A 25,353-nucleotide genomic window follows, 5' to 3' on the forward strand; every position below is an offset into this window, starting at 1 on the left:
GAAAAATCAAGCTCTGTTATAAATATTAGTTTTTACCCTTTTTCTTTACATTGAGATGCTGTGTAATAGTTGTATTATGAATTCATTCAGTAATTTATTTAATTTGTCATTTCTCTGAGTCCTTTTTCCTCCATCTATTTTAATACAACCGCCAAAGCACCATTACTTAAATAATGCATGACTTACATTTCTTCCTCAATTAGATCTATCAAAGATTCTTTATTGCCTGTAAAATAATTTGCAAGTTTTTGATCTGGAATTCAAACCATTCCTCATTTAAAGCTCCTTTTACTTCTTCCACAATTTCCTTGTGCAAAACCACTGCTCCAATGTGAGTCTTCTCATTAATTCTAGATTAGTCCCCACACTTTCCTATTCTTCACAGTCTCAGTGGTACTCTTCCCTTAAACTACAGTGTAATATCCAAGTGTTCTTAAAATCATCCCTGATCAAAACCAGTGTTCAGTAATTTCTCTTTCTTGTAAACTTCCTTCGAAAATTTTAATCATAACAGTCATTTGTTACTTAGCATAGATATTAACTATTTCTAATTTTTTAAATATGGATTTTTCTCTAATACAAATTTATATCCTTACTCTTCTAAATTTTTAATGTCCAAATATACATAGTATGTATTTGCTGAGAATGTGCCAACATGAATATTGAAAATAAATTGGATCCATTTCATGTTTAATCTTAGTATTAATAGTTAACTATTTACTATCTGGTCTTTCTAATGGTAATCTAATACTACATAATAATTTTATGAGTTTAAGGCATAATATGTTGCTAATTTTCTTATGTTCTGAATTTCTTTATAATAGACTTTTGTAGTTTTGAAAAGTATTGATGAAAAAAGGGAAACAAAAACACTCAATTGACGTTAGCCATCAGTCTTTGAAAAAAGGTAGGATAAAGAAAAAATAGTAAAAATAATACATCTGAAAGATATTTGTTGAAATTAATTCAAGAGGATTATTTCTACTTGGATAGTAGAGTGGCATTTTACATTCAACAATTGCAAATTAGGTGAAGATTTGTATAGCAAAATCATTCCTGTATGTACTTTAAATTATCCACAAACATATATATGTGTGTGTGTACCTTCAATACTTTTACAGTATATGCATAATTGTAAAATAAATAAATGTGAAGCATACACTAGAGTACATATGTGAATATTTTACTATATTTTTAAACACATATTTTAAACACAGACCACTGGATTTGATACCTGGCTCCAGCAATGTCTTGTGACCTTAAGGGAGTTGCTAAAATGTTCTGTGGTTCAGTTCAGTCATCTATACCTTTGAAAGAGTAATAGTCTCCCATTTCATTGTGTTGCATTAAGTATTGAATAAATGTGCTTAGATCTGTGCCTGGTATATAATTAACACTCAATAATATTAATCTTAGTAAGTTTCTGGAATACTCTCCAAGTGATAATATTGCTATTAGAATAGAAACCACTATTGGAAATTTAAGCCCCAGGTAAAATGTTTGGATTCATACTCAAACAGATAAAACTAAGGAAGGAATAAAGAAGAAGTTTAAATGATCTAGTATGTCAACATATGTGTTATCAGTTAAATCAAATTAAACTTCAGAATGATAGTTCAGAATTCGAATTTGCTTGATTATTCATATATCCATGCTATTTTATTTCTTATTTTTCTCAGAACAAATGACTAAGTCTAACTCTTATTCCTTATATTTTTATTACAAAAATAAAAATAAAAATAAAATAAAATGTAAAATTCACATTGGAAGCAAAATTAGAGTTAGGGTGGGCCATTTAATATGAGAAAATGACCAATGCAAAAGAAGGATATCACAATTCTAAATACGTATGCAAGCATCATCATAGCCCTAAAATATATAAAGATTCACAGCATTAAACAGGGAAATACACAAATCCACATTTATAATGGGAGATGTAATACACCCTTTCAATATCTGATGGAATAATCAGACAAAAACATAATAAAAATACAAAAGATTTTAACAAATTACAAACTTGACCTACTGACATAGGTAGAATTTTGACTATAATGGGCCATAAAGAAAGACTCATCAAATTTTAAAACAGTGTAATTATTTAGAATATGAAATTAAAAAAGAAATCAATTTAAAAGATAACTAGAAAGCCAAAGTTCCCAGAAATTTACACTTTAGAAAAGTTTTAAAAATAAACTATTACAGTAAGAAGAGCTTGGTGATATAGACCCACACATATCCAGCACCTGACTTATGACAAAGGTGAAAGCATGTCAGTACAGAGGAAAGAATGATACTTTCGTTGAATAATGCTATAACAATTGGATATCTCTATTTTAAAAATGCATCTGGAGCTTTTTATTATGCTATACACAAAAGACAATTACAGTTGTTCTAAAGGTCTTAAATGTGAAAGATAAAATAATTCTTTTAGAAGAAAAGCATTGTGTTCTAGGACTAGGCAAGCTTTCATTAAATAGGACACATAATGCACTAGTCATAGAAAAAAATTGAAAATTTGCTCTATTTTAAAATTAAGGAATTCTTTTTATTATTATAAAAGACATGTAATACTGAATAGAAAGAAAACCCACAGACTGGAAGAAGGTATTTATAATACATATTAATAAGATTATTTTCATATCTAGAATATATAAGTAATTATATATAAACAGTTCCTACACTCCAATAAGTCAAAGACAAACAACTCAATAAGAAAAAAATATGCAAAGGATTTGAATAGAACCTTTACCAAAGAGGGTATCTAAATGACCAGTTACCACAGGAAAGTTTCTCAACTTCATGTTAAGGGCAGGAGACAGGGAAATACTGGGTAGAAGAGGGTGGTCCCCAAGCAAAGGCCCCACCCTCAAGCCTGAAGACCTGTGGCCCTAAATGAGGACAGGCATTTCAGGTTTCACACCCAAAAAGTTGCCTTTTGGCCCGCCATGCCCCGCTGTCGTACCCCCATATAAATCCCAAACTCCAAGCTCCAGAAGAGACCTACAAGTGAGGAGACGGAGAGGCAAGCCGACAAACAGGCCTGCGATGGCAGAATGACACAGCAGAGAAAGAGAGGAGGGACATCTGGACTCCGAGGGGAGTTTGGCCAGGGACGGGTGGAGAAGAGTCTGGCCACTGGGAGGCCTGACACTGGGCGAAGGTCACCTTCCCACTCCATCTTGCTGACAGCCACCTCCACCACTCAATAAAAAGTTGCCCTCATCCCTCGAGCCCCCGTGTGATCCGATTCTTTTGGGACACTGGGCAACAGCTGGGGATATAGAGGGCTATTTCACTGTCCCACTACCCATGAGATAAGGAAGAGGGTTTGTTGAGCTGATTAACACATAAACCATTTGCAGATGGCAAAGCTAAAGGAGCACACTGTAACATACGCCCACTTGGGCTTCGGAAATCGCAGACACCCACCCCTAGATGCTGCTGTGAGGCCAGAGCCCGAAAGCGCTCACTCCGGTTCCCGCACCGGTGCATCTGTGTGCTCCCCCTCCCCGTAAGGGGTTTGAGCTGCAGGGCGACCTAACTGGCAAGCCGCACACCTGTTGCATGTCCTTCAAGGGGAATCAGGGATCTCTCACATTTCAATTAGTCATCAGGAAAATTCATATTATAACCACGGAGAATTATTGCTTTGTGTTACCAGAAAAGCTAAAATTACAAGGATTAAAATTACCAAGTATCTCTGAGGGTATGGAGCAACTTGGACACTGCTGATAGAAATGTCAAGTGATGTCAAGTGTTATAATCCATTTGGAAAATTGTCTAATTTTATCCATTACACCTAAACATAAATTATGTCCCAGTGTTTCACTACCAAGTATGCACTTACCAGAAATGTGGATTGTGTTTACCAAAAACCTCATAATATAAGGCCCATAGCAGCACTATTCATACCAGCTCCAAACTAAAATCTGCTCAAATGCTCACTAACAGGCACACAGATAAATAAAATGTGAACTATTCAAAAAGTGGAGTATTAAATCGCAATAAGAATGAACTATCTGTAACTACATCTAACAATGTGTTTGAATGGTCCAAACACAATTTTTGGTGAAAAACTCTAAACATAAGAATAAACTGCTTCTTTTTCATTATACAAAGTACAAAAGCCAGACAAATATATTCCATGTTCTTGAAGATCAGAATCGTGGTCTCTGTGTGTGGGGGGTGTGGGAGAGGGTTGAGAGGCGTATTGACTGAAAAGGAGTACTGGGGTTTTCTGGGATGTAATAATGTTCAGTGTTTTGACCTTGGTGGTGGTTTCACAGGTATCTTTACCTTCTCAATATCCAGCATATGATTTATGTTTTCCTTATACATATTACACTACAATACAAAGTTTTAAAAATCAGCATTTCAATTTGTTGATTTTTGGATTATTAAACCTATTTACGTCAAATGAGAGTGAGCCAGTTGCTTCATACACATATACAAAAAGTATTTAGAAAACTAATTTCATAAATTGCTAGAAAAGCAGACCCCCAAATTCATCAAGCACTGCATTCTTGGCAAAGTTTGTACACATTGTCTGGGTGCTGATTGTGAAAACATTGCCTAAACCAAAGTTTTGTATGTGATTTCTTTTAAAGTTTCTCTTATTTCCTGTTCTGAGGTTTATACACAATAGACCCGAATAGAGTTTGAATAATTGAAGGGTTTATGAAATCCAGAGGATATCACCAGCTGCTGATTTGCACATACCAAGAACATGAACATTTTCCAACGGAGAATTTCCCTAGCTTAATAAGAAAAAGTCCAAGAGCCGGTCACAGCATTAACATTTAGTGGGAGTGCAGTGAGAATTGGGTTTAACTTCTGGCATTTCTGGGCTTGTGGCTTGTGGTTGATTTTTTATTTACTTTGCAAAAGTTTCTGATAGGCGGAGCATCTAGTTTCAACTTCCTTTTGCAGCAAGTTCTTTCCTGCACTAATCACAATTCTTGGAAGAGGAGAACTGGACGTTGTGAACAGAGTTAGCTGGTAAATGTCCTCTTAAAAGATCCAAAAAATGAGACTTCTAGCAAAGATTATTTGCCTTATGTTATGGGCTATTTGTGTAGCAGAAGGTAAGATTAAAAGAGACTCTTTTCTGAAAACTGTATTATGAAACATTTGCTAATGATGCTTTTCACAGGAGTAATAAAAATTTGATTTAGAAAATGTGCTTAAGTATTCTGTAACTTGACAATTGAGTGGCTTTTGACATTGTTGAGTTTAAAAAATGTAAGAACCTTATTTGAATGGTATATCTAAATATTCATCATAATTATATTTAATATAAAATAGAATAAAATGTTTTAATAAACATTTCTGAAAAACTATGATCTGGAATAATCATTTCCCTTGTAATTATCATAAAATGTAATTTACTTTTTTGCTTAGGAGTATAACCAAAATGTATTATGTGAAAGCATTAAGAAGGATGTGAATATACATAGTCAATAAAAGCCATCAAATCATAATGATTAGATTTATTTCAAATATGATTTTAACTCTTCCTAAATAAAAATTCATTTATCATTTACAACTGATATTGTCATGACCTTAGAATTCTTGTAGACAAGTATTACTTGTATTATCAGAATAAAAATATTATATAAATTTGAAACCCAATTGAATATACAATATTTGTAACAGTTAAGTTGTTCAATAGAGATTTTTTTCCTGTAGTTGTATATAACATATATTCTTGAAGAGCAGTCTTTTGGAGTAGTGAATATGAATGTAGGAGTTTTTTTCTGACCTCAGTAAGACAATTTCTGGATTCATAATAAAATTTAATTATATCACTGCTTCTTGATAGATTAAAAAGCTTATTCTTGGAGGAGGTTTGCTTTCCTAGTTTTTGATAGGTAACCAGTTATGTGATAGATATTTGGTAAACATTTTTAAACTGAATGAATTACATATTATTCATAATTTCTAAAATCTTTTCACTTAGTAAAGAAATTTTGATTGAGTGACCATTACATAGCCTCTAGGAACTGAAGAATATTAGCAAATAATACAAATCTCTGTTTCAGTCTTCCAATCTAGAAAATAAAAGCAGATATATTCTTATAGTTATACACTTTGGTAATTTAAAAAATATTCAAATATGTTTAATACCTTTTGAAAGGTTGAATTATTTTCAGTTATATTTTCTAATGTTATTGCTTGTTCTTTGGCTTGTAAACTTTATATGTAGCCACTTTTTAAATGAAGAAAACAATTATTTCCTTGTACATATAAATATTATAATTAGTATTTTAAAATGAAACCTTTTTGTATTTACAAACAGTTCCAGAACAATGTCAATATTACCTATTGTAAAAGACATCTTTTTCTGTTTCTTTGTGTAAATATTTCTGTCTTTTCTTACTAAATTTATGGGAATGTTTCTAACGTTTCATACCTACATACTGTTTGCTCCAGTTTTACATAGATACCATTTGTCATATAAGGGAGATTTGTTTTATTTCTAATCTTTAAAATCAAGAATCAATGGCAAGTTTAATAAACAGTTTAAGTTATTAAAAAGTTGAATTTGAAATATTATTAAAATAGAGTACATCAAAGTATATGTGATAATTAAACAATAGTGATTTAAACATCTTATTTACATAATTGATTATTGCTGACTTGTTTCACTTTTATTTTATTTTTCATCAATGTGTGTTTAAATGTGGTATCAGTTTCTACTGGTGAATTGAACATCGGCACTATATATGTTATGGTGAAAATGATATAAATCTGATTATTTCCTAAAAGATAAAGCACAACTTTGTATTTAAAGCAATGCTTAGGCCAGCCTCATAATTTTCATAAAAGCACATGTAATGCAAAAGCCAATGGAGAAAAACTACATGAATTTTCAGTGGATATCAGACTCCTAATTTATTCCTTGTTTCCCAAATACTCTCTGAAACTAAACTAGTTCGAGATGTCCATCAGTTCTATTAATCTACCATATCTAAAAAATTTTTACTTAACAGAGTAGCTTTGATCATGAAAAATACTCACATATATTTCAATATTTGCTTCTGTTTATATTTTCCACATTGAATACTGAATACCAAATTGAGAAGATAGTTTGAATACTATCACAATCTGCTTTATTCAACAGCATAACATTTTAGCATTACTTCTGCTCTGTTAAGAGTGAACTTTCTTCAAAAAAAACACTATTCATTACTAAGAAAGAATTATAGCCAGCAGGAATAATTTGTAATTTCAGCTTTCTATTTGTTTTCTTTTTTTAATATATTGGGTACTACATAGAACCTTTCTAATGCAATATATTGTCTACAATAACATTTCCAATTGTGTAGGAACGTTAATTGCCTCCTTGTTTTAACAGTCTGGCTCAGGGGGTCACTGCAGGCTACTAAGAATTGGGTCAGATTTACAGGACAAAGTTTAAAATAACAGTTTCTCAATCGTACCACCTAATTTCACCTTTTTGAAATATAGTATGACCAAGGTTTTGAATATATTATGACCAAGCAGATTTTTTAGATTTAGGGTCTAACAATTGTGTACTATATGAAATTAGGCCACAGCCCAGAAATTCCAAGATGATTAAAGTGAATAAATTAAAACTCTACTGAAACATGTTCAAGTAAATACTGGCTGTGTTGTTTGGGAGACATGTTTTTTAATCCTGGAGATTTAGAGTGCAGAAACGTTATTTCAGGTCCCAGAAGACTTTATAGATCAGAGATTGATGGATTCCATTACAGTCAGAGAAAGGAGAATAGTGGTCTAAAATCCTAAATTGTATGTTTGAATTTCAGTGTGATAAATAAGAATTCCCCTTTGCTCCCCCAAACCCCCATATTTTCAGAGATAGTAGTATGTGTATTTATCTATATGGTGTGATTTAAATTGTGCGATGGCCCAATTGGCTTCAATATCTCATCTCCTCCTAAAATACTTTACGTGTTGATATTAATATTACTATAATTTCAACCAATCTGTCATTTACATGGAATGACAAATACACTGAATACATATTTTAGGATAGTTAAATTTAGTATTATTCATAATTTACTTTGAATTATTATCATCTGACAACTTCCCTGAAACAATTTCAGTGGGCGGGGGAGGGTAGAAATGGATGTTGATGAGGATAAGAATAGAACAAAGTGATTCTGGAAGATGGGGTTTTCCCAGGTAGGACAGATCTGCTGGTTGAAGTGCTATAGTGAGTGCTATAAGAGAAGGGGTAGAGAAAATGCCCACAGAAATGGCACGAGCCTGAGACGTCTGCCAAGGCAAGCTTTGCTTATTTTAAATTTAGGCATATCCTGGGAATGCATATGCTACTCTTTTGCCTACATATAATTTAAACTAAAAATGAAATATCTAAGTATTGCTAACTAAAATTATTCTTAGGTAGAAGTAAGTTCCCAAATATAAGTTCAAAAGCAGATTGGTAAATGTTCTTCATGTGTGGCCTTTGGTTTCTAAGATCTGAGCCAGTCTACATTGACCCACTTTTATTTGCTTAATCCTCGATTGTTTATTCTGCAGTCTTTTGCCACTTTTCATTCTTCCCAGTTATGCCTTCTCCTCCTCCCCACACACACCATCCCCCACCTGCCTAGGCCTTTGAGATTCTGCCACCCAATCTATCCCGTGCTCAGTTAACTAACGTGTACTTTACCCATTTCTTCACAAAACCATAGTACATGGAAAGGGGATGATGTAATTGACAAAAAAGTATTGCATTTTAGCTTAAAATTATAAGGAGTCATAAAAAGATAGCTCAGAGGAAATAAAGTAACTGAACATCAAAAAATGAAACAATAAAAAGGAAAGAAAAAACATTTGACAGAACACTTTTATTTCTTCTGACATTTTAACTTAGCCAAGTTTTTCATAAACCTTGTTAACTGGAAATGTAATAGATAGAAAAGTGATTATTCTTCCAGGCCGGGCATGGTGGCTCACACCTGTAATCCCAACACTTTGGGAGGCCCAGGTGGGTGGATCACCATGTCAGGAGTTCGAGACCAGCCTGACCAAAATGGTGAAACCCCATCTCTACTAAAAATACAAAAATTAGCCAGGCGTGGTGGCGCGTGCCTGTAATCTCAGCTACTCAGGAGGCTGAGGCAGGAGAATTGCTTGAATCAGGGAGGCGGAGGTTGCAGTGAGCTGAGATCATGCCATTGCCCTTCAGCTTGGGCGACAGAGGGAGATTCCATCTCAAAAAGAAAAAAAAAAAAAAGAAAGAAAGAAAGAAAGAAAAGGAAAAAGCAATATTCTTTCAGAAACTCCTGAACTGTAACATAAATTTAAGCTTAGGACACATAGGTCAGATGTACAATGGAATTACAAATGTTAGAGTTTCCTGGGTTCTTGCAACAGAGTTTTAAGTGCACTAAACAGTTATCACCTTGTCTTCTCTTATATTTTCTAGTCACTACTGTCTACTACGCTTTTTCCACAGGCTGTCCATAATCTACAGATATAATGGAAAGGCTTCCAGATAGTTTCATTGTTACTCATCTGTTCTTTCGCTCATTCATTTTTCCATCACTTTAACTTCCACAAGTACTACTTAGTAATACTTGGTACAATGTGTGTTGCGTTTTTTTTTTTTTTTCTCTATTTTCAGGGTCCTAATTGTACTGTCTCTTTGTGGCTGAGTTCGTTTTTTGTGACTGGAACAATAACTGGCATTAGAAATTAGCTATTCAAATACACATTTCAAGAAAGTTGTGGAATTTCAACCCATGTTCTGATAGTATCTTGTTTTATCTCTAATTATGACATACTTGTTATTCTATCCAACTTCATGTGACTATCGTCTATTCTCCTATCTGCTTTTTATGGTTCTGGAATTTTCTTCTTGCTCTTTTCACTGTTAAGTTGTTTGTTTGTTTGTTTGTTTGTTTTGAGACAGGATCTCGCTTTGTTGCCTGAGGCTGGAGTGCCCACGCTGGAGTGCAGTGGTGCGATCATAGTTCACTGCAGCTTCCAACACCTGGGCTCAAGCAATCCTCCTGCCTCAGCCTCCCACACCTAGCTAAATTTTTTTCTTTTCTTTTTTCTTTTTCTTTCTCAAATGCCTATTAAGTGTGACATAATCTCTATTCTGCTTTGTCTCTAGAGTTTGTTTCTTTAAACAATTCTTTACTCTGTTTACAAAGGTATATATGTTACTTCTGAAATGATCTTTATTCTCATGTTATTTATAAAATAATTTGAATATTTCTTATTTTGAAAAGCTAATTAGATCATATCGTATATATGCATATAGAATTGACCCTTGACCAATATGTGCTTGAACTTCAGGGGTCTGCTTACTATGTGAATTTGTTTCAACTAAACCTGGGTCAAAAATACAGTATTGGTGGGTTGCAAAACTTAAGCATAGGAAAAACTGACTTTTCGTACATGCGGTTTCCAGAGAGCCAAATGTAGAATTTAAGTATGTGCAGATTTTGGCCTGTGTGGGAGTCCTGGAATATATATCCCCTGTGTATACCAAAGCCAAAGGATTATTGAATAAATAGTATTACTATAGATCAGTGAGAAGATAAGAAAGAAATTTAATGCAAAATACCTATTTTTGCTATTTCTGTTTTGTTCATTTGCTTTATTTTTTTCCAAATTGATTTTGTAACTTTGCTTTATAATATATTCTGATACCTACTAAGTTTAGAAGTAGGCTATTTAAAAAATAATATCTACTGTTTTTTATGCACAAAATAATTTTAGAAAAATAGAATAATTGAACAAAGAGACCAACTTTAGTCTACCAAAACAATCTAGCACAAATTTGATTAAGGATTTCCCAAATATATAATTTTATCATGATTTATTTCATTTGAATAAAAACACTTTTCAACTAACAGTTAAAAGATATATTGACATTGAAAATAAGTAATTAGTTCTATGTTTGTATGTCAATAATAAGTAATTAGCTTGGTGTTTGTATGTCAATAATGCCCCCTTAAAATTTGAAAGTGAAAAAATTAGGTAAATTAAGATTATTAAAATATTAAGTAATATTGATTTTTAGCTTTGACCAAAATTATATAACTATTTTCCTCAAATTATAGTAAAAACATTCCTACTCTTTACCAGTAGTTAAACGTATTCACACTCTTAATTCATGGGCTAAAAAAAAACTTGATTTTGTTTAGTATTATTCTTACTTTTTTGAGACAGGGAATCACTTTGTCACCCAGGCTGCAGCGTACTGGTGCAATCATGGCTCACTGCAGCCTCGACCTCCTGGGCTCAAGCAGTCCTCCCACCTAAGCATCCCAAGTAGCAGGGATTACAGCCACCTTGCTCAGGTAATTTTTTTTTTTTTTTTTTTTTTGAGATGGAGTCTTGCTCTGTCGCCCAGGCTGGAGTGCAGTGTCGCTATCTCGGCTCACTGCAAGCTCCGCCTCCCGGGTTCACGCCATTCTCCTGCCTCAGCCTCCCGAGTAGCTGGGACTACAGGCACCCACCACCAAGCCCGGCTATTTTTTTGTATTTGTAGTAGAGACGGAGTTTCACCGTGTTAGTGTTAGTCAGGATGGTCTGGATCTCCTGACCTCGTGATCTGGTGATCTGCCGGCCTTGGCCTCCCAAAGTGCTGGGATTACAGGCATGAGCCACCGCGCCCGGCCTGCTCAGGTAATTTTTAAAATTTTTTGTAGAGACAGGGTTTCACCACGTTGCCCAGGCTGGTCTTGAACTCCTGGGGTCTATTGATCCTCTTGACTTGGCATGTCAAAGTGCTGGGATTATAAGCATGACCCACTGCATCCAGACTAAAACTAATTTTAAATTGTAAAATAAAGCCAAATGAATTAAAGCTTCACCAATGTAGTGTTTTGTAAACAAAATTAACTGGCAATTAAATGACTTGTAAACGTAAGATGAAGTATTCATTGTTTAAACTCAAATACTTAGATATGATGGCTTAGTCTACTCATTAATCTAGAATGAGAAAAATGAGATGGCTATTTCTTTTAGTTTTAAGATAAATCACATCTCAAAAAAATGTTTCTGTGCCTTTCAATTTGTATGCATCCTATTTAATAAGCCCGTTGTACATACATGCTGAGAGTTTGACTACTTGGGCCAAAATAACCGTTTGTTGTCTACTTGAAGGTGGTTCAACTGAGCTTGAACATTCGATTGTTAGTCAATTCAGGCAAATAAAAGTTATGTCACAAGATATACCTAATTATTATTAGAACTCAGTGCAGTGAATCATTACCTTAAATACTTTTGCTATGGCATGAGTTGATAATGATGTAGGACAGCAAGCCCCCAAATTGGGTCTTAGCCTGGGAAGGTTCTTGGTTTTGTCCAGTAAAGAATTCAAGGGTGAGCCTGTGGTGTTAAACAGCAATTTTTGTTGAAGTGGCAGTGTATAGCAGCCTCAGAGGCACCTCTCCTTGCTAAGCAGGGCTACCCATAGGCAGTGTGCCCACAGTAGCAGCTCAGAGGCAGTTCTGCACTCATATTTATATGCACTTTTAATTATATGGAAATTAAGAGGTAGTTAATGCTGAAATTGCCAGGAGGAGGATGGTAACTTCCGGTTGTTGGGTCATTGCTGTGGAAAGGGCCTGTAACTTCTGGGTGTTGCCATGGTAATGGTAAACTGTCATAGCACACTGGTCTGTGTGTCTTACAGGGAGGGGCTTCCACTCAGACCTGTTTTGGATAATCCTCAATTTGGTCCAGTGTCCAAGTCCCATCTCCTATCTCAATAATACTCAATACAATAATGGTTAGAACAAAAGCAGACAGGAAAGTGTATCTGAAGTGAGAAGACCTAGACATTAATGAAAATTCTTCCACGAACTATGAAAAACATTGTTCTTCAATTGTGGGGAGCTTACATTTTGATGTGGGGAGATAGATAGAAAACCTAATGAACAAAAATAGTTATAGCATTGTGAAAAATTTTGTGAAGGAGGTAAAGTAGGGCCTAAGAGAAAATAGAGATGGGGATGGTAGTATGTAGAGACATTAGGTGGGCTTGGTCTTGGGGACTAGAATGAGTGGATCACTTTGAGGACAGAACATTTGAGTAGAGGCCTGAAAGATGAGACAAAGCCAGTCATCAGAAATCTGTCGTAAAATTATTCTAAGAGGAGGAAATAACCCGTGTAAAGGATCTAAGGAAAAAATAAGTTTGAAATGCTCAACAAAATATAAACAAATAAATCAGCGTGACTTTGCACAGTAAATACATGGGAGATTTAACATGATGAGATCCGAGAAAGTGGCAAGAGCCAGATAAGGGGTTCCCAAACCAAGGAAAGGAGTTAGCAATGCTGGATAAGTAAAAAGTGAAGTCATAGAAGAATTTTAATCACAGGAATGACATGACCAGATTTGCAAGAATCACTTGTCACTCTGTGAATAGACTGAAGTAACAGGAGAGTAGAGGACTGGAGGCTAGTTAGCAGGCAAGTTTCATGACCAAAGTGACAGATGATGATCTGAACTAAGATTTTGAAGATGGTAGTAGGAGCAAGGGAAAATAGAACAGGGGCGGTCATATCTTTTTCTTACAAGCAGAATCAAAAGATGCCATTTAACACTGATGGAAAAAGCACCAGAATTTTAAGTACTATTTGAAGAGAAAAGGTAATCAATATGATAATTCTTTATATATAGTAAACATATTCACAGAGTAAATATTGTGAGAAGTTGGTAGGAAGATTTTGTGGAAGAGATGTATCCTTGTTTTCTACATCTGGTTGTTAAAAGCAATGAACTATATTTGGAAATCAAGAATTAGGGGCACAAACGTATCACCTGGAAATATAATAATAACCAGAAGGGAAAGCATTTACTTCTCACTAGGAAGTGAGCGGGCTAAACTTTTTTTGTGTTAATGGATTACTTTACTTATTTATTTTTTCCAATAACCTGAACATCATCAAATGGATCTAAATTTTGAAAGTGAAAAACAAACATATCAGCTTGTAATTAATCAGTTTTCCTTTTGTGCGGAAGGGGCCGGGGATTGTGTTGTTATGATAGAGTATTAGCACCATCTAGTGGAGTAGAATATGTTTACTTAAATTATAAACATCGAAATAGTGCAATGTGGAATCACATATTATATGAGTTCACTAATACAAATTTGCAAAAAGGTCAAGGGAAAATTAGTGCCCATAAAAACTTTCACATTATTTTGTAAAATATAATTTTATATGGTGTTTTCTTTCTTATGAAATATTGCAAAATGTTTTCATATGGATTTGTTCCACCATGTTAATGGGCACTTCTAAAACTTTTTTCTTTGGGCTGCTACAACAAAATATTATTAACTGCCTAGCTTATAAACAACAGGAATGTATTTCTTACACTTCTGAATGCTAGAAAGTCTAACAGCAAGATAGTACCAGCAGATTCAGTGTTTGGTGAGGTCTGCTCTCTGGTTCATAGACAGTGCCTTTTGGCTGTGTCCTCCAATGATGAAAGGGACAAGGCAGCTCTGTGGTGCCTCTTCTATAAAGGCACACATCCCAAATCATGACAGCTCCACCTTCACGACCTAATCACTTCCCAGTGTCCCCACCTCCTAATACTATCACATTGGTAATTAGGTTTAAACATATAAATTGGGGGTTGTGGGGAGGTTGCATGTATTCAGAGCATAGCATATGCCTTCTTAACTTACTAAAGTCTAATAATAATTTATCACTCAGGATTCAATGCGGGAAGCTTAAGTAGAAGTAGAAGATTACCTATCTATCAGTCAATTAATTGATTGACATACCAATCTCCTATCTACCTACTTAAAAAGAGGTTTTGTTTTGTTTGTTTTGTTTTGTTTTGTTTTTTAAATAAATTGCCTCAAGGAATTGTGAGCATGAGATAAGCAAGTCTGAAATCCACAGGGCAGGTAGTCAGAAAAGGAAGATTACAGACAGGATGGAACTCACAGGAAAGGAAGCTGCTTTCCACAGAATTCCCTCTCTTTTTCAGAGGAGCCTCAGCCCTATGTTTCAGACCTTTCAAATGATTTGATCTGGCCTATCTAGATTACCTAGAATGATCAGCTTGTTTAAAGTCAACTGATTGGGAGTGTATCTGGCAACATATTTTCTCACCAACATTTAGATTAGTTTGACTCAATAACTGGGAATGCTGACTTAAGCAAGATGACTTATTAAGAAAACTGTCACAGCTCATTAATACCTTTCTGTTTTTCTGGACACTGTGAAGAACTTAAAAGACATTAATTTTATTAATCCTTCTCACAGTTTACCTACTATTGTCATGTGTTTTATGTATATGGGTGTATACACATACATGTTTGTATTTAAAACCATGTAAGGTAATATTTTTATTATTTTATAGTCAGTATTCATTTATATTTACTTGAACATTTACCATTTTCTTTGTTTTTCATTTCTTCTTTCATCCTAAGACCTTATATTTAGGATCAGTTTCAGTTTTCTGAAATATATCTTTTTTCTCTCCTTAATGTGTATTTATAGTGGCAAATTCTCTCAAATTTTATTAATCAGCCCGGGCACGGTGGCTCACTCCTGCAATCCCAGCATTTTGGGAGGCTAAGGTGAGTGGATTGCTTGAGCCCAGGAGTTTGAGACCAGCCTGGGCAAAACGGCAAAACCTCGTCTCTACAAAAAATACAAAAATTAGCTGAGAGAGGTAGTTTGTGACTGTAGTCACAGCTACTTGGGGGGCTGAGGCAGGGGACCACTTGAGCCCAGGGGGTCAGGGTCGCAGCGAGCTAAAATCACACCACTGCACTCCAGCCTGGGCAATAGAGATCTTGTCAAAAAATAAAATAAAATAAATTTTATGAATCAAAACTTTATTCTCAAAAAATTATTTCTGTATATAGAATTCTATATAGATAGTTATTTCTTCCTGAAAATGGAAGTGATTAATACCTGGTGGCGTCTGCTATTGCTATTGAGAAGTCTTTGTAAATCTAACCATTACTGCTTTTAAATTAATATTTTTCTCTAACAAGGTTAAGATATTTTCTCTTTGGTTTTCTGCATATTCCTTATGATGCATATAGGTGTGTTTTTTTACTGCTTGGAATTTTTTAATTCTTGGATATATTAATTGGTATGTTCCATTCATTTTTTAAAATTCTCTTCCAACATTGCTCTGGCTTTTCTATCCTCATTGACTCTTAGCTCATCTTGTGTATTTTCCACACATGTGTGTCTCCATGTTGCATCCTGTATTATTTCTTTTGACCTGCCCTCCTGTCCACGAATTCTTTTTACAACTGTGTTATCTGCTATTAAGCTGTCCATTGATGATTAAAATGGGTTTTTTCATTTTTAGAAATTATATTTGGTTCTTTTTAAAATCTGCTACTACTTTGTTATAATTTCTTTCCTCAGATATCATTAGTCAAACTTTTCTCTTACATTTAAACAACAGAATTAGTATTGTTGATTATAGTCTGTATATATTTATTCCAATATCAAATATCTATTTTGTTCCTTATGAAGTTTATGGTAACTAGGTGCTTTTTCTCCCGTATAATGTCTTTGACATTTGTAATAATAATTTGGTGCTTAAGAAAAAAATCTTCCTCATATTAAAGTTACAACTTATCTTTTCTGGGTGGCTAGAAGAACTTTCAGTGTGAGACTACCTTAAGCCAAATTTGTGCTTTAAAATTCCTTGGTGCTCTAAGCAATTCAAAGCTGGGTTCCTGTAAGAAGAGTGTGGTTTACTTCCAGTTCTCCCTTATCCTGTGGGTGAATTCATTTAGGTTTCCAACTTTGAATTTTGTTGCTTTAGCCTAATAAGGCTATCAAAAAGCAAGCTTGTGTCTTCCCCAAATGGTGAATGCCCACAGTGCAGAAAAAAATTGGCTGCCTGTTTTCCTTTCTGGGTTCTGATTATACCAAGATATGTTATGGTAATTCTTTACTGTCTCGTCAGCTTTCTAAATGCCTCTATGAAAGTATTTATTTCAAAACATATGTTTTCCTGTTTTTTTCCCCTTTTGTGACAGGGTCTCACCCTGTCTCTCGGCTGGAGTGCGGTGACATGATCATAGCTCACTGCATCCTTAAACTCCTGGGCTCAAGAGACCCTCCTGTCCCAGCCTCTCACATAGCTGGGACAACAAGTGTGTGCCACCATGGGTAACTAATTTGTTTCTTTAATTTTTTGTAGAGATGGGATCTTGCTATATTGCCCAGGGTGGTCTCAGACTCCTGGGCTCAAGGGGATTCTCCCACCTCAGCCTCCCAAAATGTTGGGATTACAGGTGTGAGCCACCATGGCTGGCCACCTGGTTTTATTGTGAAGGTGTCCTAAGTGATAAGATTAATCTGAAATAATGAATCCCAAGGCACTCAAATTTTTTGTGAAATAGCCAGACAATAAATATTTTAGACTTCGTGAGCCATAATGTCTCGCTACTCAGCTCTTCTATTGTAACATAAAAGGAGTCATAGACAATATATAACTATATGAGCATAGCTGTGTTCTACTAAAATTTTATTTACAAAACAAGCAGCGATTGGATTTGGCCCACAGGTTAGTTTTCTGGCCCCTGACCTAATGTATCTCACTATAACAGAAAATATATACTGACTTTCCTTCTTACTATTATAAATTTTATGCACATAATTAAATATTACCCAAACCACAATTTTTAATTCAGATGGGTGTAGCATAATTTGACAATTTTCATAAATATTCTAATTATATCCATTATTAAAAATGCTGGAATAAACACTCTGTACCTAAATATTTCACAAAATCTTTAATTATTATTTGTTACTTTTAAAAAATTGAAATTATTTGTCAACTTACGTATGAGTACTTTTAAGATTCTTTATTGCTAAGTTGCTTTTTAGTGAAGTAATAGTCATTTATATTTCAGTTTTATTTAATAATAATATTTATATTACCTAATTTTCCAGCAAAATTGATTATCATCTCCTTTACATTTTTGTGTTAAAATTGGTCAAAAAATAATTTTCTTTTAATTTTTATCTCTTTTAATTATTGGTAATGGTCACGTTAATGCCTGTTCTTAAGTAAATGATCTATCCTACTCTAACATTTTTCTTTAGATAGTGTTTAGTGCTTTTGTTACTGCAAGAAGTGTTTGTGTTAAGAATAATTTTTCAGTTAAATTTTCTCCACATTTTGTATATATGATTTTTTCACAAATATAATTTTTAATTAACAAAGTTTTAATGTGTATATGTTCTGTTTGCAAATTGCTTTATGCATTAAGCCTTCCTTTTTTGATATTTATTCATACTTTTTAATAAATATATTTATAAAATAAATATAATTATAGATAGATGGCACTAAGATAATAGTAAGTTAAAATGACATATCATCATATATAGCAGATAATTAAAAAATTATAAAAGAATGAAACATATATGTATTTATTTTAAATTTGTTTAAACCTAACTCTTTAGTCTACCTGGCATTTGTGTGCATGTGTCTGTGCAAATAAAGTAAGGATTCAAATTTATCCCATTTCATTTCCAGTGGGTTTTATTTTTTATTTATTATTATTATATTTTTTTGAGACAGAGCTTTGCTCTTGTTGCCCAGGCTGGAGTGCAATGGCGTGATCTTGGGTTACTGCAATCTCCGCCTCTCAGGTTCAAGAGATTCTCCTGCCTCACGCCCCCACGTAGCTGGGATTACAGGCATGTGCCACAACAGTTGGCTAATTTTGTATTTTTAGTAGAGACGGGGTTTCGACATGTTTGTCGGGCTAGTCTCGAACTCCTGACCTCAGGTGATCCACCCATCTCAGCCTCCCAAAGTGCTGGGAATATAGGCGTGAGCCACCGCACCCGGCCCCAGTGGATTTTAATTGCAAGCCTGCCAGAGTGAGTTTCAATTTGAGGTAGTCCAAGTTTACACAGTACGATAGACTTACCCATTGCCAAGGTTACTTGGCTTGAAGGAAAATACAGAATAAGGATAAAGGCAGTATGCACAAGAACAGCTTGATGGAGATTTCAGGCACTGAAACTCAGCTTCTAATATCTTAACCCCCACCAGGATAATTTTGCTGATGAAGGATGAAAGTTGATGCCAGTATAGGTCACATCCATGCCCGGTAACAACAGAATTGGGTATCCTTAGTTTAAATACTTTAGTTGTCACCTTGAACTTGGAGGGTGATTTATGTGATCATCACTATTATTTGCTGTTTTCTATTTTCTTTAGATTTCATTTAATGTTTTACTAGTTTCTTGAATTAGAAATTTGGATAATTGATTTCCAACAGTTTTTTATTTCTAATTCATTCGAGTTATATTTTTTTCTCTCTAATCAGTGCTTCAGCATCAGCCCACAAATTTTAACATATATTTCCATTATTGTTTATTTCAAATCATATTCTCATTTATATTATATTTTTCTTTAACTCATGAGTTATTTATAAGTGTTGCTTGCCAAGTGCGGTGGCTCACGCCTGTAATCTCAGCACTTTGGGAGGCCGAGGTGGGCGGATCACTTTTGGGAGGCCGAGGTCAGGAGATTGAGACCATCCTGGCTAACACGGTGAAACACCGTTTCTACTAAAAATACAAGAAAAAAAAACCCAAAAAATAGCCGGGCATGGTGGCGGGCACCTGTAGTTCCAGCTACTCAGATGGCTGAGGCAGGAGAATGGCGTGAACCCAGGAGTGGAGGTTGTGGTGAGCTGAGATTGGGCACTCCAGCATGGGGGACAGAGCGAGACTCCGTCTCAAAAAAAAAAAAAAAAAAAAAGGGTTGCTTAACTTCAAAAATTTTGTGAATTTTCCACTTATTTTCTGTTAGCAATGTCTAGTGGTCAGGGAGTATACTTAGAGTGGCTTTAATTTTTTGAGATTGGTAGAGATTTGCTTGGAATGAATATGCATCTTGCAATTGTTGAAGACAGTGTTTTATTAATATAAAAAACTTAATTTGGTTAATAATGTTGCTTATATCTTGTATATCCTTATTTTTCTATTTCTTTTCTATTGGATATTGGAAACAGTGTGCTTAAATCTCAAACTATGATGGTGGATTGCTTACTTCTTTTATTTCTGTTATATTTTGAAGATGTATTAATAGTTTTATGCAAAGAGGCATGCTGGTAAATGTAAAACAACCAACTATTTTTTAAAAGGAAAGGGAACAACCATGATTTGTAAAATTTGCTGAGTTTCATGGTGTAAATTCTCACAATATGGTCAATTTCAAGTTACCAACGTGTCATCAGGAGACATTGTATTAGCAAAAGATGTGTATAATTGGCTCCTATGAGTCAGTATGAGCCAGCTCCAGCAAACATTGTTCAGACACATTTGCAATTATTACATCTTTCTGTTAAAGTAGCCTTTTTATTAATATGAAATGACTCTCTTTTTATCTAATAATACTTTCTAACTAAAATTATCATTTGCTTGATATTAATACATTAATATCATTCTTACTTTGGTTGATACTTTTCTAGCATATTGGTTTTTATCATTTACTCTCAATTTATATGTACAATTTTATTAAAAGTAATCATCATATATTTGAGTTTTCTTTTATGCTTTTATCCAGTCAGACAATCTTTGTATGTTTAGTATGGTGATGAATCCATTTATATTTAATGTAATTACTGATACAGTTCAGTTTAAGTCTAGCATATTGCTACTTACTTTTGCCTCAATTTTTCTCTCTTCTTTTCCTGCCTTCTCTTATTTTAATCAAATAGTCTTGACTATCTCATTACATCATGTATTCTAGTTATTTTATGTATCTCAATATTATTGGTTTAGTGGCTAACTTAGCAATTACAACAAAACATGCTTAAATTATTACAATTTATTCTAAATTAATATTTTTACCACATCAAGACTATGGGGAAAACATCACAACACTTTTATTTTCTTTACCTTTTCCTGACACTTTTGCTACTATTGTTTCATATTATACTCTTGAATTTATTAAAAACACTATTAAACATGGTCTATTGATTTAAACAGTCAAGGCTCTTTTTTATTTGAGTAAAATATACATAGCATAGGGTTTATCATGTTTCAATAGCTTTTTTATTTACTCTTCTATTTATTTTCTTCAGTTCTGCTTATTCCTTTTTGTACTTCTTTGCTTATATTTTAGATCAGTTTCCTTCAGCCCAGAGAACTTTTTTAGTATTTTTCTATAGTTGAGTCTGCTCTTGTTGAATTCTTTCTGCTTTTGTTTGCTTAAGAATGTGTTTCTATTTGCTTTCATTTTTGAAGTATATTTTCACCATTTATAGAGTTCTCTGCTGACTTTTAATTTTCAGCACTTTAGTAATGCTAAGACATATATATTCAGACTTCAGTATTTACTTCCACAGACTTGGCTGTTATTTTTACTATTCTCCTGGAAAAAAAATGTTTCCTCTGTCTGTGATATGGTTTGGCTCTGTGTCCCCACCCAAATCTCATCTTAAATTATAATCTCCATAATCATCACATGTCAAGGGAGGAACTCAGTGGGAGGTGACTGGATCATGGGGGTTGTTTGTCCCATGCTGTTCTCATGATAGTGAGTGAGTTCTTATGAGATTTAATGGTTTAAGCATCTGGCATTTCCCCAACTTGCACTTCTCTCTCCTGCTACCATATGAAGAAGATCCTCTCTTCTTCTTCACCTTCCACTATGATTGTAAGTTTCCTGAAGCCTCCCCAACCATGTGAAAGTATGAATCAGTTTAAACTTCTTTTTTTATGAACTACCCAGTCTCAGGTAATTCTTTATAGCAGTGCAAAATGGACTAATACAGTAAATTGGTACCAAGGTAGTAGGGCACTATTATAAAGATACCTCAAAATGTGGAAGTGACTTTGGAACTGGGTAATGGGCAGAGGTTGGAACAGTTTGGAGGTCTCAAAAGAAGACAGGAAGATGTGGGAAAGCTTGGAACTTCCTAGAGACTTGTTGAATGCTTTAGACCAAAATGCTGATAGTGATCTGGAATATGAAGTCCAGGCTGAGGTGGTCTCAGATGGGGACAAGGAACTTATTGGGAGCTGGATCAAAGATCACTCTAACTGTGTTTTAGCAAAGAGATTGGCAACATTTTGCCCCTTCCCTAGAGATCTGTGGAACTTTGAACTTTGAGAAAGTTGGTCTGAAATTGGAACTTATGTTTAAAAGGGAAGCAGAGCATAAAAGTTTGGAAAATTTGCAGCCTGATGATGCAATAGAAATAAAACCCGAATTTTCTTGGGAAAAATGCAAGCCCACTGGAGAAATCTGTGTAAGGAATGAGGAGCCAAATGTTAATCACCATGACAAGGGAAAAATGTCTCCAGGGAATGTTAGTGATCTTTAAGGCAGCCTCTCCCATCACAGGCCTGGTTGCCTCGGAAGGAAAAATGGTTTTGCAGGCCTGGGCCCCACTGCTGTATGCAGTCTCAGGAGTTGGTGGCTTGCATCCTAGCTGCACCAGCTGCAGCCATGTCTAAAAGGGGCCAACATACAGCTTGGGCCATTGCTTCAGATAATGAAAGCCCTAAGCCTTGGCAGCTTCCACATGGTGTTGGTCCTGTGGGTACACAGAATACAAAACCTCCACCTAGATTCAGAAAATGTATATAAGTGCTTAGATGTCCAGGCAGAGGTGTGCTGCAAGGGAGGAACCCTCATGGAGAACCTCTACTAGGGCAATGAGCAAGGGAAATGTAGGATTGGAGCCCCCACACAGAGGTCCCAGTGGGGCACTACCTAATGGAGCTGTGAGAAGAGGGCCACAGATCCTCCAGATCCCAGAATGGTAGATTCACTGACAGGTTGCACCTTGTGCCTGGAAAAGCCACAGAGACTCAATGCCAGCAGTGAAAGTAGCCAGGGCAGGGGGCCATACCTTGCAAAACCATTGGGGCAGGTCTGCCCAAGGCTGTGGGAGCTCACCTCTTGCATCAGTGTGACCTGAATGTGAGACATGGAATCAAAGGGGACTGTTTTGGAACTTTGAGTTTTAATGACTTCCCTATTGGATTTCTGACTTTCATGGAGCCTTTGGTCCCTTTGTTTTAGCCAATTCATCCCATTTGGGATGGGAGCATTTACCCAATGCCTGTATTCCCATTGTATCTTGAAAATGACTAATTTTCTTTTGATTTTACAAGCTCATATGTGGAAGGGACTTGCCTTGTCTCAGATGAGACTTTGGACATGGACTTTAGGGTTAATGCTGTAGTGAGTTAAGACTTGGGGGGACTGTTGGGAAGGCATGATTATGTTTTGAAATGTGAGGACATGAGATTTGGGAAAGGCAAGGGGCAGAATAATATGGTTAGGCTCTGTGTCCCTACCCAAATCTCATCTTAAATTGTAATCACCATAATCCCTGTGTGTTGAGGGAAGGACCCAGTGGGACGTGCTTGGATCATGGGGCAGTTTCTCCTATGCTATTCTCGTGATAGTGAATGAGTTCTCATGAGGTTTGATGGTTTTATAAGCATCTGGCATTTCCCCTGTTTGCACTTCTCTCTTGCCATCATGTGAAGAGGTCTTTCCTTCCCCTTCCACCATGACTGTAACTTTCCTGAGGCCTCCCCAACCATGTGGAATTGTGAGTCAATTATATCTCTTTTCTTTATAAATTACCCAGTCTTGAGTATTTCTTCATAGCTGTGCAAAAATGGACTAATACAATCTGCTTTTAAGATTTTGCCTTTATCTTTGGTTTTCAGCAGAGTATCAGTATAGGTTTTCTTGGTATACAGCATTTTGGGGGTTTTTAGAAATTTTGATTTTGTGAGCTGATTTCTTTCATCAATTTTGGAAACCTTTGAGCTATTGTTTCTTCAAATATTGCCTATGTTCATTTTCTTCTCTATTGTTAGAATTCCAATTAAACATGTTTTATAACTTGACTCTACACCACACATTTTTTTATACTCTGTTTTGTTTGTTGTTGTTTATACACTTTTGTCTTTCTATATTTCCTTTTGGTTATTTTTACATTAAACTTCCTCTAAGTTTAATAAGTTTGTATTGTGCTGTGTCCATTTGATTCTTAAAACCATCTGACAAGTTGTTATTTCTGATTTTTGATCCAATTTTAAGATAGCACATGATTTATGAGTCAATTTTATTTTGAATATCTTTTTTAAATTTTCATTTCTATATTTTCTATAGTTCCTTTAATGTTCCTAAAATAGCTGTTATAAAGACCTAACACTAATTCTAACATCTGAATCTGAGTGTCTAGTTCTACTGAATATTTATTTTCTCTTTTTGTTCACAGTTGTTTTTGCTTTTTTGTGTATCTTTTAATTTTTATTCAAAATCGTATTTTTAAACAAAAACATGTAATGACAAAAGTTTATATAACTTACTCTCATCAACAAGATTGTTTGCTCTTTCTTGAGCCACTCAAAAATTTAACTCAGAGGGACCTGGGTAACACTTTTAGTTTGAGTCAGTCCCATTTCTGGTTTCTAGTCTCAAAGATTAAACCCTCTTGGGTTTTTAAAGTCAAGAATCTGGTTGGTTTCTTCTATCTCAAAAGACTAATACACACACACACACACACACACACACACACACACACACAGAGTATATACATATACACATATATATACATAAATATAAATATGTGTATATATATATACTATATATGTGTGTACATATATTAGACTTTTGAGATAGAAGAAGCCAACACATATATATTATGTATGTGAGCATATGATATATATATAATAAAAGCCATTTATATATATGTTTGCTTTTCTGCTGTTTTGACTCTGTTCTTATATATATATAATCTTAAATGCTCATATATAAATGAAACAGCAGAAAAGTGAACATATATATAAGAGCTTTTATTATATATAAATAATATATATATGTATACAGCTTTTCTGCTGTTTTGACATCTGCTCTTAAATATCATCCAGAGTGACTTTCAAATATGGCATGTTTTGATGAGAATACTAGTTGTGTATTTGAGTCAGATCCATTTTCTTATTGAGACTTTTTTTCTATGAGACAACGGGAAAGTCAGTCTTCCCGTATGAAGCTACCTAGACTCTAGCAAAGCAACCTGATTTGGCAAAGTTTCAGAATTCTTCATGCTAGATATAGCCTCCTTATGTTTGGTTCTTTCTTACCTCATTACCATTCTTCCATTCAGACTAAATAGAGGCCTGATCTTCAATCCATATCCAGAGCTGACAAACATAACCAGGTAAAAAATGGCCAGAGACCCTATATTTACTTGAAACAGGTCCTTCCTACTTGTGTTTTGTTCATTTAATCCTCTTTGCTCCCACAACTTACCTTTGAACATACACATGCACACACAATTTGTTGTTGTTCCAATTTGGAGTAGAAACATTGTTCTTTTCCATCCTATTCTATCTTATTTGGAGT

The 25,353-nt window shown here is 34.7% G+C and overlaps 1 protein-coding gene across 2 annotated transcripts in view; it reads left to right on the plus strand.

Moving 5' to 3' along the window:
• The window catches only part of CFH (complement factor H), a 95,462-nt gene continuing 75,060 nt past the window's right edge, over nucleotides 4,952-25,353 (plus strand). For both annotated transcript variants that reach the window (NM_000186.4, NM_001014975.3), the window contains exon 1: nucleotides 4,952-5,084. In NM_000186.4, the coding sequence (NP_000177.2) occupies nucleotides 5,027-5,084 (58 nt within the window). In that variant the 5' untranslated portion in view covers nucleotides 4,952-5,026. The remainder of the gene's footprint in view (nucleotides 5,085-25,353) is intronic.

Source organism: Homo sapiens, chromosome 1 (genome assembly GCF_000001405.40).
Source record: "Homo sapiens chromosome 1, GRCh38.p14 Primary Assembly".
In the NCBI taxonomy this organism is placed as follows: domain Eukaryota; kingdom Metazoa; phylum Chordata; class Mammalia; order Primates; family Hominidae; genus Homo; species Homo sapiens.